Here is a 14,764-nt window from a genome sequence, read left to right as displayed (position 1 = left end):
TAAAGACTCCACCAAAAAAACTAGCAGAACTGATAAATGAATTCAGTAAAATGGCAGGATGCAAAATCAACATGCAAAAATCAGTATCAGGTCAATACACCAACAGCAGAGAATCTCTAAAAGAAATCAAGAGAGCAATCACATTTATAAGGGATAACAAAAAAAAAACTTATGAATAAATTTAACCTATATTTTGAAATAGCTGGAAGAGAACATAAGGAATGTTCCCAACCCAAAGAAAGAATAAATATCTGAGGTGATGAATATCCTAATTACCCTAATTTGATCATTACACATTGTATCTTTCAAAATATCACATGTACCCCATAAATATATATATAATTTTTATATATAATAAATCAAAATTGATTAGTTAAATATATGTATAGTTAAATAGATATATGTATAAAGTTCTCAGCATTTCAACCTGTATTCACTATAAAAATAAAAATAAAATTTTACATTTTTTTCCATACCAGGTCTTTGAAACTCAGTGTGTTTTTTCCACTTACAGCATGTTGCAAATGGGACTAGTAAATTTCAAGTGCTCATTGACCACAGTGGTTGATAGCTTCCGATTTGACAATGCAGATCTAAGGCATAGTTGATTTTATGACTTTCTTCCCCAAAAGGCCAGGGCAAGTAATAATTTAGGTCAGTATCTAAAGACAGAAACCATCATAAAGAAATCCTGTAGAGAAGTACACCAATAATGAAGAAACACCACAAATACTAAGCTATAGCATGGAGTAGGCAAAGCCTTTCTTGCTTTGGCCAATAGTAAATATCAAACTATTCTCTTAACATGAAATAATGCAGACTTTTTGGATGAGCAGAGAGAAGAGTACAGATATCACAACCGGGAGGTACTGAAAGCAGAGCCATGATAATAAAGGCATGTGACTGACAGGGTTTGTCATTCTCCCAGTGGTGGATTTGCTTACTTAAAACCTAAAAGTCTTCCCTCAATTAGGATTCTCAGGTGCCTTCTGCCAGAGTAAGCTATTCCTGCCTACTCAATTTAGTGATAGTTTCATTCTGCTTCATTTGTAATGAGTTGCCTACCTACAGTCTCTCCAAATTATAATCACCGTGGCCTGACGACCTGAAGCACATTTTGCTTATCTAAATTCCTTATCATTGGAAAGTAGTGCATTACACCACACATAGTATGTGCTCAATAAAATTTTAACAGATGTGTAAATGAATCAGTGATGCCCATTCAGAATTTGATGCTGCCTTTCAGAAAATACTGTAAAGATTAAAAGTGAGCAGAAAAAAAAAAGCATCCAATGTAAATCATCCAAATTTCTAAGTGTATACAAAAGACTGGAATTTAGGAAAAAACACAGCAACAGATGTTGAATCACAGGGCCATGCTGACAATATTATTTAAAATTATTCCTTCAAATCAGGAAGACTTAACCCTAAATCAAGACACACACACACACACACACACACACACACACACACACACACACACACATACTACATGCCCAAAAGCTTATTAGAGTTTCAGTAAACAACGCCATCAGGCTGATATAAAATTATCTTCCTGTTGTCTTGCTTCAATTCAATAACAAATTATTGCTTCAATGCTTGGCAATCAGAGAAGCAAAATTCTTGAGGATCCCACAAGTGAATTTGAGACTCTCTATTCTTCCAGAGCAAAGTTATATTTGAAGTGAGACACAGTTCTAACAAACTGAGACTACTGAGGTGCATTTTGATTGCTGTTCTGGTAACCCAATGCCATAATCCACAAAGCCAATTCCTGTTAAACATTTTGTCTAACTTCTGTTAATTGCTAAGATGGTAACCAGCTCTCTACTTGATTTCCCCAGGAAAAATTAACTTGTTTCCAGGGTATGTGTAAAAATCCCACTTTTTGTTTTCTTGCCCTCTGGTATGTTGTCTGAAAACTAACTTAATTCAAAGTCCAGCAGTGTAGGAGTATGTGATAAAAAGTACCTAAAAATCAATAGAGTTCCCACGCCCCTCAGTCCCAGGCAGCCTTGCTTACCATGCTGTAAGAGCTCATCAACACCGTCGTTGCACTTGCTGCACTCCTAAATCGATTGGAAATGCCCTGACCCAAAGGTCAGGTGGCAGTGTGTAAATATAAGGGATATCTCACCATGGAGATCACAGCTCCACACTGCAGGAAGCCAAGAAGGCCATTTCAAAGGCATTGGTCTGTGTCCTAAATATAGGACTCACAATATTCTTAGGAACCACACACATCTCCACTTCCACCAGATGATTAAAGAAATTCCACCGGAATTTCTTCAGGAGCCTTGCCATATTCCTTTCCAACAGTGATTTGGGAACACTGCCTTCAGAAAACACCTTTGGAACTAGCAGGATTGGATGTCTCTGCACTTAAAGCCAAAAGAAATTAAAGTCGATCCAGCTATATTACAAAATTATTAATTGCTGCAACCGGATTGGAAGTGACATTTATAATAAGTAAACTGAGGAATGTATTAGAACTCAGGAAAATTGACCATTCTTTGGAGATAAAGATGGCAAGACAATTAGCAATGAGGGGTTGAATGGCACTGCACAGTACATTAAGATCCAAATTGTAACTTGATTCTTGGGAACTTGAGCAAGTCAGCTAACTTCTTTGAGGCTCAGCTTTGAAAACCATGATTCTTAACCAGTTTAGGATTATGAAAGTCTTTGAAATCTGGTAAAAGTCTCTTCTTAGAACTATTTTACGTAAATTTTATTGAGATCGTGTATACCTCACTATCCCCAAATACTACTCAGGGCCCAAGTTAAGACTTTCTATTCTAGATACTTATAACTCCCCTATTCTATCCCTAGAATGTATCCTCTGTGAGAGTGAGGTGTTTCCGGAACCTAGGACAGTTCCTTATACCTAGTGTTTGCTTAAGGGACATTTGTAGAACCCTCATAAAGGAAAGAATAGTGAGACTCTTCAAGGAATTAAACAAGGCAGTTTATGGAAAGGAGAAGTGAAAATTACAAAATATTCTACAAATATGTGATTTCTTTTCTTAAAGTAAATTGCAAGCCACATCTTTGGCTCTGTTCTGATTGACACAGTAAGATAAAATCACAATTTACAATTTATAACTTTTTCCTATAAACCTGGCATTTTCTAAAATGACACATTTGTGCTATAATTCAAATTTTTTACTTTGAAAGCCTTTAGAAATTTATAGCAGTAAATGCCCACAAGAGAAAACAGGAAAGATCTAAAACTGACACCCTAACATCACAATTAAAAGAACTAGAGAAGCAAGAGCAAACACATTCAAAAGCTAGCAGATGGCAAGAAATTACTAAGATCAGAGCAGAACTAAAGGAAATGGAGACACAAAAAACCCTTCAAAAAATCAATGAATCAAGGAGCTGGTTTTTTGAAAAGATCAACAAAATTGATAGACCGCTAGCAAGACTAATAAAGAAAAAAAGAGAGAAGAATCAAATAGACACAATAAAAAATGATAAAGGAGATATCACCACCGATCCCACAGAAATACAAACTACCATCAGAGAATACTATAAACACCTCTACGCAAATAAACTAGAAAATCTAGAAGAAATGGATAAATTCCTCGACACATACACCCTCCCAAGACTAAACCAGGAAGAAGCTGAATCTCTTAATAAACCAATAACAGGCCCTGAAATTGAGGCAATAATTAATAGCTTACCAACCAAAAAAATTCCAGGACCAGATGGATTCACAGCCGAATTCTACCAGAGGTACAAGGAGGAGCTGGTACCATTCCTTCTGAAACTATTCCAATCAATAGAAAAAGAGGGAATCCTCCCTAACTCATTTTATGAGGCCAGCATCATCCTGATACCAAAGCCTGGCAGAGACACAACAAACAAAACAGAATTTTAGATCATAATCCCAGATGAACATTGATGCAAAAATCCTCAATAAAATACTGGCAAACTGAATCCAGCAGCACATCAAAAAGCTTATCCACCATGATCAAGTGGGCTTCATCCCTGGGATGCAAGGCTGGTTCAACATACACAAATTAATAAACGTAATCCAGTATATAAACAGAACCAAAGACAAAAACCACATGATTATCTCAATAGATGCAGAAAAGGCCTCTGACAAAATTCAACAGCCCTTCATGCTAAAAACTCTCAATAAATTAGGTATTGATGGGACATATCTCAAAATAATAAGAGCTATTTATGACAAACCCACAGCCAATATCATCCTCAATGGGCAAAAACTGGAAGCATTCCCTTTGAAAACTGGCACAAGACAGGGATGCCTTCTCTCACCACTCCTATTCAATATAGTGTTGGAAGTTCTGGCCAGGGCAATAAGACAGGAGAAAGAAAAAAAGTGTATTCGATTAGGAAAAGAGGAAGTCAAATTGTCCCTGTTTGCAGATGACATGATTGTATATCTAGAAAACCCCATCGTCTCAGCCCAAAATCTCCTTAAGCTGATAAGCAACTTCAGCAAAGTCTCAGGATACAAAATCAATGTGCAAAAATCACAAGCATTCTTATACACCAATAACAGACAAATAGAGAGCCAAATCATGAGTGAACTCCCATTCACAATTGCTTCAAAGAGAATACAATACCTAGGGATCCAACTTACAAGGGATGTGAAGGACCTCTTCAAGGAGAACTACAAACCACTGCTCAACGAAATAAAAGAGGATACAAACAAATGGAAGAACATTCCATGCTCATGGATAGGAAGAATCAATATCATGAAAATGGCCATGCTGCCCAAGGTAATTTATAGATTCGATGCCATCCCCATCAAGCTACCAATGACTTTCTTCACAGAATTGGAAAAAACTACTTTAAAGTTCATATGGAACCAAAAAAGAGCACGCATCGCCAAGTCAATCCTAAGCCAAAAGAACAAAGCTGGAGGCATCACACTACCTGACTTCAAACTATACTACAAGGCTATAGTAACCAAAACAGCATGGTACTGGTACCAAAAGAGAGATGTAGACCAATGGAACAGAATAGAGCCCTCAGAAACAATACCACACATCTGCAACCATCTGATCTTTGACAAACCTGACAAAAACAAGCAATGGGGAAAGGATTCCCTATTTAATAAATGGTGCTGGGAAATCTGGCTAGCCATAGGTAGAAAGCGGAAACTGGATCCCTTCCTTACACCTTACACAAAAATTAATTCAAGATGGATTAAAGACTTCAACATTAGACCTAAAACCATAAAAACCCTAGAAGAAAGCCTAGGCAATTCAAGACATAAGCATGGGCAAGAAATTCACGTCTAAAACACCAAAAGCTATGGCAAAAAAAGCCACAATTGACAAATGGGATCTAATTAAACTAAAGAGCTTCTGCACAGCAAAAGAAACTGCCATCAGAGTGAACAGGCAACCTACAGAATGGGAGAAAATTTTTGCAATCTACTCATCTGACAAAGGGCTAATATCCAGAATCTACAAAGAACTCAAACAAATTTACAAGAAAAAAACAAACAACCCCATCAACAAGTGGGCGAAGGATATGAACAGACACTTCTCAAAAGAAGACATTTATGCAGCCAACAGACACATGAAAAGATGCTCATCATCACTGGCCATCAGAGAAATGCAAATCAAAACCACAATGAGATACCATCTCACACCAGTTAGAATGGCGATCATTAAAAAGTCAGGAAACAACAGGTGCTGGAGAGGATGTGGAGAAATAGGAACACTTTTACACTGTTGGTGGGACTGTAAACTAGTTCAACCATTGTGGAAGTCAGTGTGGTGATTCCTCAGGGATCTAGAACTAGAAATACTATTTGACCCAGCCATCCCATTACTGGGTATATACCCAAAGGACTATAAATCATGCTGCTATAAAGACACATGCACACGTATGTTTATTGCGGCACTACTCAAAATAGCAACGACTTGGAACCAACCCAAATGTCCAACAATGATAGACTGGATGGATTAAGAAAATGTGGCACATATACACCATGGAATACTATGCCACCATTAAAAAGGATGAGTTCATGTCCTTTGTAGGGACATGGATGAAGCTGGAAACCGTCATTCTCAGCAAACTATCCCAAGGACAAAAAACCGAACACCACGTGTTCTCACTCACAGGTGGGAATTGAACAATGAGAACACTTGGACACAGGAAGGGGAACATCACACACCGGGGCCTGTTGTGGGGTGGGGAGAGGGGAGAGGGATAGCATTAGGAGATATACCTAATGTAAATTACGAGTTAATGGATGCAGCACACCAACATGGCACATGTATACACATGTAACAAACGTGCACGTTGTGCACATGTACCCTAGAACTTAAAGTATAAAAAATAAAAATAAATCAATAAATTATTGAGAATTAAATTCCCTTACATGCTCAAAGAAATCCTGCTTTTCATTTTGCATTTCCTGCTTGATTCTAAGGATGTCACTATTGTTTTATTGGTCAAATGTGGACATATAATTCACTTGCTATTAAATTCCCACATTCAGTAAACAATTCAATGGCTTGCAGTTCCCAAAAGTCTTCCACCTGAATTCCCAACCATTTATCTTCCATGTCTTTGCCTAGTCGCAGACCTCATTACTTTTCACTTAAAACATAACAATATTTTTTCAGTTTCTCTCCCTGTAATTTTTCATTTGCATCATCTCTGATCATCTTGCTGAAACATAAATTTGATCATGTGACTTTTGCACTTAACGATCAAGACACCTGTCCTAAGCCTATTTTATGGCAAATAAATGTGAAATATAACAAATGATGCCCTTCCTCATTGAGCCTTAGCTCATGCCTCTCTCGTCTTGTACTCCACACTCTTTCCATAGTTAACATCTCGCATGCTTACTGCCTGCCATTTTCTTTGTACCTTCATGCTTCTGGTGGCAGAGAGGGTTCTGTTTGCAACCTCCTTGGACTCTCATCTTTCAAGTAGACTCTTACTCATCCATCTAGACTCAAATGTCACTTTCCTGCCCACTTCTCCAATCGGCTAACCACTCAGCTAACCATACAGTAAAAGCACATTCTATGGGCTTCCATTAAAAATACACTTGATTATAACACTTCTACTGCATTAATATGATTTATATGTCTTTTTCACACTGGTCCCTAAGCTTCCTCAGTTCACTGCCCACATATTTTATACACTGAGTCAATGACCAAGCAAAATTAATATATTAACACTGCTGACAGTAACAATAGCTCTGAATAAGAAGGTTCCTTTGCAGTTGCTAACTACCTCATATTTTTATTAAAGGTATCTAGTTTGCCTGCATCAAATCCACAGATGACTGTCTCTATAGGGAACATCAATGAAAATGATGATAATGTTAATAGATTGCTTACATGTGCCTGGCTTCATGTTCATCATTTTACATGTGCTATTTTTAATACACTATAACTTCTATGATGTAGGTATTATTAACCCATTTCACAGATAAGAAAACTAAGGTTTAGAGAAATTAAATTATGCCATACAGTCATATGGCTATTTACTAGCCTTATAACTAGTAAATAGTGAAGACAGATGTATTAGCCCATTTTCATACTGCTATAAAGAACTGCCCGAGATGCGGTAATTTATAAAGGAAAGAGGTTTAATTGACTCACATGTCAATTAAGTCACCTTCTTCCAAGGTGGCAGAAAGGAGAAGTGCCGAGCAAAAAGGAAAGAGCCCCTTATAAAACCATCAGATCTCATGAGAATTCACCATATGTCACAAGAACAGCATGGGGGAAACCACCCCCATGATTCAACCACCTCCACTTGATCTCTCCCTTCACACGTTGGGATTATAGGGATTATGGGGATTACAATTCAGGATGAGATTTGGGTGGGGACACAAAGCCCAATCATATTGATGAGATTTGTTCCCAACTTTGATTGCAAACAGTATTATTCTCAAATTCTATTTTGAAGTATGAATGATCAGTTCACTAAGATCCTTTGTGGGAAAATCTAGAAAAGTATCTTCAAATACATTACATGTTCCAAAGGTTTGCTTTCAAAATCTGGTGAAGGTTCATCTGCTCATACATTAATCAATTATCATACTTTCTTTTTTAGAGAACCCAAGTAAGAATTTTTACATTTGCGCTTCTCACATTTTAAGTCAATGCTAACTACAACATTGTTGTCCCTACCTCGAAGTGAGTTTCTTAAACTATATGATGATTTCAATGCAGACTCTACAAAAGAAAAACTTCTGATGTGGTCTTGAGAAATATACTTGATTAAAGCATACAAATTCCTACATTTCCCGCTTATGGAGTGGAGACTCCCAGAAAGCTTACTGCAGAATCCAGCATTTCTTCATTAACACAGACCTTAGACCACATCTTTCTTTCCCATTGTAGAATGGGAAATCTCTGTTCCTTGCTGGCCAATTTAGTCTTTCAATTGTCTAAGGGCTCTCCATTCCTCCCTTCCTCTTTCTAGCCTGTTATTTCTAGGCTCCTCTGAATAAATCTCAGGTTTCCTACTGCATGCCTTTAGTTCAAAAATGAGAATCTGCCCTACAGTCTGGCCTCCTTCCTGCCTGAAGCCAGCACCTTCACCCTGCCTCTGCCAGTTTCAGAGAGATCAGCCCATTCAAACACTTGTGCCTCATCCCAAATGTTCATCAACATCATGCCCGTTCTTCAATTCCAACACAAATCTTTCTTGCTTGCATGACAGATTTAGGCAAGGCACATAATTCTCTGTGATCCATAGGGCTTATATGAGGATGAAGTGAGATAACACAAGAAAAGACACTTGAAACAATGCCTAGCCCATGAGAACTCTATACACTCTGTGATGGTGTTTAGCTATTTTATTGCCGAGGCACTTACAACCACTGCAAAGAGAACAGAGATGGTTAAAAACACCAATTCCATGTAAATGAGGCCTGAGCCTGCCACTTATGACAGGTGGGACCTTGGGTAAGTCACATTACTTTTTTGGCCTCAGTTTCTTCTGTGAAAGGAACATCTCACAGTACCTCTATCACAGAAATGTTGAGGAGTTTACATGCAACAGTGTGAGTATAAAGCACTTGCTTATGGAAGTAGCACAGAGGAACTGCCCAGTCTACATATTAGTAACTTGTCATTTCCCAGCCCCTAAAGATCTCTCCCTTTCTAAATTCCTCAAGAGCTACAATCATTTTCCCACATTCCAAGATGGATTTTTCTCTGACTGTTTCCACTGTGGTAGGTATGCCCTTCCAGCTAGGTGTGAGTTCCTGAAAAGCATGTACTATCCTGTATATTTCTCCCAAACGCTTCTACTCTCAGCAAATAGGAAAGTGCTAGGAAGGTAAATGCCTGAGAACTATTGACTTGCACATCACCAATACGTGCTATTAAAGTTTGTTAATTTATATAACATTTCATCTATTTGAGTTCATAGCCAAGAAAAAAAATACGAATAAATTGTCATTATTTTTGTTCTTTTTAGAGGAATAGGGAATTGAATATATTTTAACAGCAAATTTATATAAATAAACATAAATAACATTAGACATATAATTGCATGTAGTATAGCAGAGTGAGAAAATTAGAGATAATGAACAGAATATACTATTTTAAAATTCTATAAACACATTTTCTATCAATAAAAAGTCCTTTTTTAAAGGAATCTACAGTCTGACCTTGCAAAAGAAAAAAAACATACGACGTTGAATTTCTGAAACTTATTCACTGAAATATTTTTTTCTGACATGAATACTTAAAGTCTCCAAATTTATACTAAAAATTCATATGTAAATGAACAATGAAAATAAAAATTGCCAATACCTGATACCCATTTTCTCTTTGTATATATTACCACTCTACTTGTGATGGAAAAATAAAAGTTTCCCATCATATGCCATATAAGTTTATGATATGGTTTGGCTCAGTGTCTTCACCCAAATCTCACTTTGAATTGTAATAATCCCCATGTGTCAAGGGCAAGGCGAGGTGGAGATAATTGAATCATGGGAGTGGTTTCCCCCATACTGTTCTCCTGATAGTCAATAAATCTCACAAAATCTGATGGTTTTATAAATGAGAGTTCCCCTGCACAAGCTCTCTTGCCTGTTGCCATGTAAGATGTGATTGCTCCTCCTTGCCTTCTGCCATGCTTGTGAGGCCTCCCAAGCCATGAGGAACTGTGAGTCCATTAAACCAATTTCCTTTATAAATTACCCAGTCTTGGTTAAGTCTTTATTAGTAGCATGAGAACAAACTAATACATTAAATTGGTACTGGTAGAGTGGGGTGCAGCTATAAAGATACCCAAAAATGTGGAAGTGACATTGGAACTGGGTAACAGGCAGAGTTTGGAACAGTTTAGTTGGCTCAGAAGAAGACAGAAAAATGTGGGAAGGTTTAAAACTTCCTAGAGATTTGTTGAATAGTTTTGACCAAAATGCTGACAGTGGTATGGACAATGAAGCTTAAGTTGAGGTGGTCTCAGATGAAGATAAGAAACTTTTTGGTAATTGGAGCAAAGGTGACTCTTTTTATGCTTTAACAAACAGACTGGTCACATTTTGCCCCTGCCCTAGAGATCTCTGGAACTTTGAACTTGAAAGATATAATTTAGGGTATCTGGTGGAAGAAATTTCTAAGCAGGAAAGCATTCAAGAGGTGACTTCAGTGCTGTCAAATGCATTCAGTTTTATGTATTCACAAAGATATGGTTTGGAGTTGGAACTTATGTTTAAAAGGGAAGTAGAGCATAAAAATTTGGAAAATTTGCTGCCTGACAATGTGATAGAAAAGAAAAACCCATTTTCTGAGGAGAAATTCAAGCCAGCTGAGAAATCTGCATAAATAATGAGGAGCCAAATGTTAATTGTCAAGACAATGGGTAAAATGTCTCCATGGCATGTCAGAGGTCTTCACAGCAGCTCCTCCCTTCATAGGCCTAGAGCCCTAGGCAGAAAAAATGGTTTCATGGGCTGGGACCAGGGTCCCCCTGCTCTTTGTAGCCTAGGGACTTGGTGTCCTGCATCCCAGCCACTCCAGCCATGGCTAAAAGGGGCCAAGGTACAACTCAGGCCATGGCTTCAGAGGGTGCAAATCCCAAGCCATGGCAGCTTCCACGTGATGTTGAGCATGTGGGTACACAGAAGTAAAGAACTGAGGTTTGGGAACCTCCACCTAGATTTCAGAAGATGTATGGAAATACCTGGATATCCAGGCAGAAGTTTGCTGCAGGGGCGAGGCCCTCACGGAGAACCTCTGCTAGGGCAGTGTGGGAAGTGAAATGTGGAGTTGGAGCCCCCACACAGAGTCCCCACTGGGGCATTGCCTAGTGGAGCCATGAGAATAGGGCCACCATCCTCCAGAACCCAGAAGGATAGATCCACCGACAGCTTGCACTGTGCATCTGGAAAAGACACAGACACTCAACACCAGCCTCTGAAAGCAGCTGGAAAGGTGGATAAATGCTGCAAAGCCACAGGGGTGGAGACGCCCAAGACCACGGCAACCCATCTCTTCCGTCAGCATGACTTGGATGTGAGACATGGAGTCAAAGGAGATCATTTTGGAGCTCTAAAATTTGACTACCCCGCTGGATTTCAGACTTGCATGGGGACTGTAGTCTCTATGTTTTGGCCAATTTCTCCCATTTGGAATGGGGGCATTTACTCAATGCCTGCACCACCATTGTTTCTAGGAAGTAACTAACTTGCTTTTGATTTTACAGGCTCATAGGTGGAAGGGACTTACCTTGTCTCAAATGAGACTTTGGACTGTTGGACTTTTGGATTAAGGCTGGAATAAGTTAAGACTTTGGGAGACTGTTGGAAGGGCATGATTGTGTTTTCAAATGTGAGGACATGAGATTTGAGAGGGGCCGGGGGTGGAATGATATGGTTGGCTCTGTGTCCCCACCCAAATATCACCTTGAATTGTAATAATCCCATTTGTCAAGGGTGGGGCCAGATGGAGATAACTTAATCGCTGCGTGGGTGTCCTCATACTGTTCTTGTAATAGTGAATAAGTCTCATGAGATGTGATGCTTCTATAAATGGAAGTTCCCCTAAACAAGCTCTCTTGCCTGTTATCATTTAAGACGTGGCTTGCTTCTCCTTTCATTCCACCATGATTGTGAGGCCTCCCCAGCTATGTGGAACTGTGAGTCCATTAAAACTCTTTCCTTTATAAATAACCCAGTCTCAGGTATGTCTATATTAGCAGCATGACAACAGACCAATGCAGTACAATATTCTATGTATGAGGTGGGCTAGTTGGAAACACTTCTGTCAAAATATTACCTATTTGACACAGATAAGACACAGCCTGGGTCTCCAAACAGGATGAGCTCACTAGCTGCCCTCTGGAAACCAAGTTTTGTTTTGAAATCTTAAGAAGCGTCTCATGTGTCACAAGAAGAGGTTGCAATCTGAAGTTGAGGGGCTTCTGTTCATCAGTGAGGTTTCTTGCCCTTCCAAAAGAGGCACATCCCTGCAGGACCCTGAGTTTCTGAGCTGCTTCCAGAATACTTCCTGAGTCCTGTGCTTAGAAAGGAATAGAGACCTCTATATCCCTCAGCAGTGTGAGGCAGGTAGTGCTGGCTCTCAAAACACCCGCTCCAATTAATGTCCATCTGTGCCTTGTAATTCAGGAAATTGTAGCAGCAAGAAGCAGCGTTTTTGTTGATAAAGTCACTTCTGGAACCTTTCCTGTTTATGGGAAAACTTTTTAGGCAGTAGATGATCAGCAGACTTGAACACTGGAAGTACAGGAATTGGAGGATGGAGTAGCAGACTGTTTTATTAATAAGCTTCACAAAAGGGAGGGTGCAACACAAATTAATGGTTATAGACACTACACCTTCTACATTAAAAGAAAGTCTTAACAATCTGAACCTAACACAGTAACTCATATTTTTCAAACCACATTATATTTTGCAGAAAACTTTCTCACAAAGATGCCTTTAAATATTTCTCCCATTAAGACTGAAAGAGGGAGAGACGGCCCCTTTTACAACAGCACAGTGTACTCATTATGAGCTTAGGTTTGGAATTGGACACACTTGTTTATGACCTTGGCCAATGGCTTACCCACTCCAAGGCTCAGCTTTCTCACCTATAAAATAAAGATGAAATTCTTTCTTCTTATAATGTCACTTGATGGTTAAACATAACTTATTGGAAATTCCTTCACCGTGTGCTCAATTAGACCATTAGAAAGTGCCCTCATTTTTAATTATTCACTGAAGTTCTGCATTGTGGACACAGTCTGCCCTACATCTCAGATCTCATGAGGCTGAGCCCTTGTTATCTCCACTTCTCCAGGGCAGAGAAAAGACAAGCATGGCTTCTACTTCTTTCACTGAGTAATGAAAAATGTCAAAGAAAAGCACAGCTCACATATTGGTGGCATGACCAGGTCATAATACATGTGCTTCTATACTGCGCTGTGTCTCTGGCCCTCTATACTGACTGAGGAGCTGTCAGTCTTCCACAAGGCAAATGCCCAAAGGAGGCATGGCTGGGGCTGAAAGGTCTGATCCCAGGGATTTGGTCTCAGCTCTCACTCAGCTGCTTTTGGCCAGTGTCCATTATTGTCCCCTAGAAAGATGGAGTCCTCTTCTCCCAATTTCCATGTAAAATTCTATTGAGAGTGCATGCATCCCTTTTTTGTGTTTTTGTTTTTGTGCACCACTGCACACTGTGCAACCTTCACTGGACTTCCTTTAGTGTAAAAGGAAATATCTTTAACGCACTAAGAAAAATACCTGAGGGAAGAGAGGAGGTTGGCAGGGGAAGTCGTGTAAGGACAGGACTGGAAGCATCTCTGCCCTCAGTGCTTTCCAGAGTCCTAGACTTCTGTTCACAGACTAGGTATGTATGCTTGGTGAAAGGCTCAACCACCTGAAGTCCCTAAGGACCCCAAGAACACTGCAACTAATTTATAGGGGAAATAAAAGGAAGACAGTACCTAGTCTACTATTCAGGAAAAGGTTACAAAGCAAGCCACCCCTGGATGAACAAGAAACCTAGCTTGTGTAGACTTGTCATTCTGAGTTTTCTTACGCTTATGGAAGCAATAATGCATGTCATTGTACACCTCAGAAATTTCTATAGTACTTTTTTGCATATGACTAAATACACATTAACATTTTATTACCACCTTTTATCCAAGAATCATTGATGGATAAAAGCAAAATAGTAATACGGCTTTTAAATAAAATACATATTTGATACATCTACATAATTAGCTGGGAGTTGTAGTACATCTTAACGAAACTGTAGTTAAATTTTAAAATCAAGTTCATACTTGAAACTGAATAGGAAAAATGCAAACTGCAGCACTTCATTTCATGAGACTGACAAAAAAGAACTCTCCATATATAGGCCCTGGCTTTTCTAAAATGTGAAGTCTAGGCAAGCACATGCCTTGCTCTGAATACTGGCTGAAAGGGTGTATTAAAATGACCAACCCAGTCTTAACCAAAATGCCCACCGCCAATATTGCATTGCATTCTTCCTGGTGATGTTAGTGGGTCCAATAAAATCATTTTCTAAATTATGAATACATTTTTTTCTTTTATTCAAATTGTGTTCCTCATGGGTACCAAGGAAAAATAGAGATCAAAATAAAGAGACTACCAGAAATGGATCCAGAGAAAAAATGATGGAAGTTCCAATGGGTGACAGGTCTTGCATGAGGCAAGTACACAGGTAGCCATGATCTTGAATAGCTCTGTACCAACATCCATTGCCCTCCCCTTGGTTAAACTTACTTTTCCTAATTAACCAGAGAACAATTCAGAGTGATA

General features: G+C 38.9%; 1 protein-coding gene across 24 annotated transcripts in view; it reads right to left on the bottom strand.

Moving 5' to 3' along the window:
* Window positions 1–14,764, bottom strand: part of NRG3 (neuregulin 3) — a 1,111,986-nt gene that overhangs the window by 963,907 nt on the left and 133,315 nt on the right. The window lies entirely within an intron of this gene.

This window comes from Homo sapiens, chromosome 10, assembly GCF_000001405.40.
Source record: "Homo sapiens chromosome 10, GRCh38.p14 Primary Assembly".
In the NCBI taxonomy this organism is placed as follows: Eukaryota; Metazoa; Chordata; class Mammalia; order Primates; family Hominidae; genus Homo; species Homo sapiens.
This window is presented reverse-complemented; position numbering and strand designations above follow the sequence as displayed.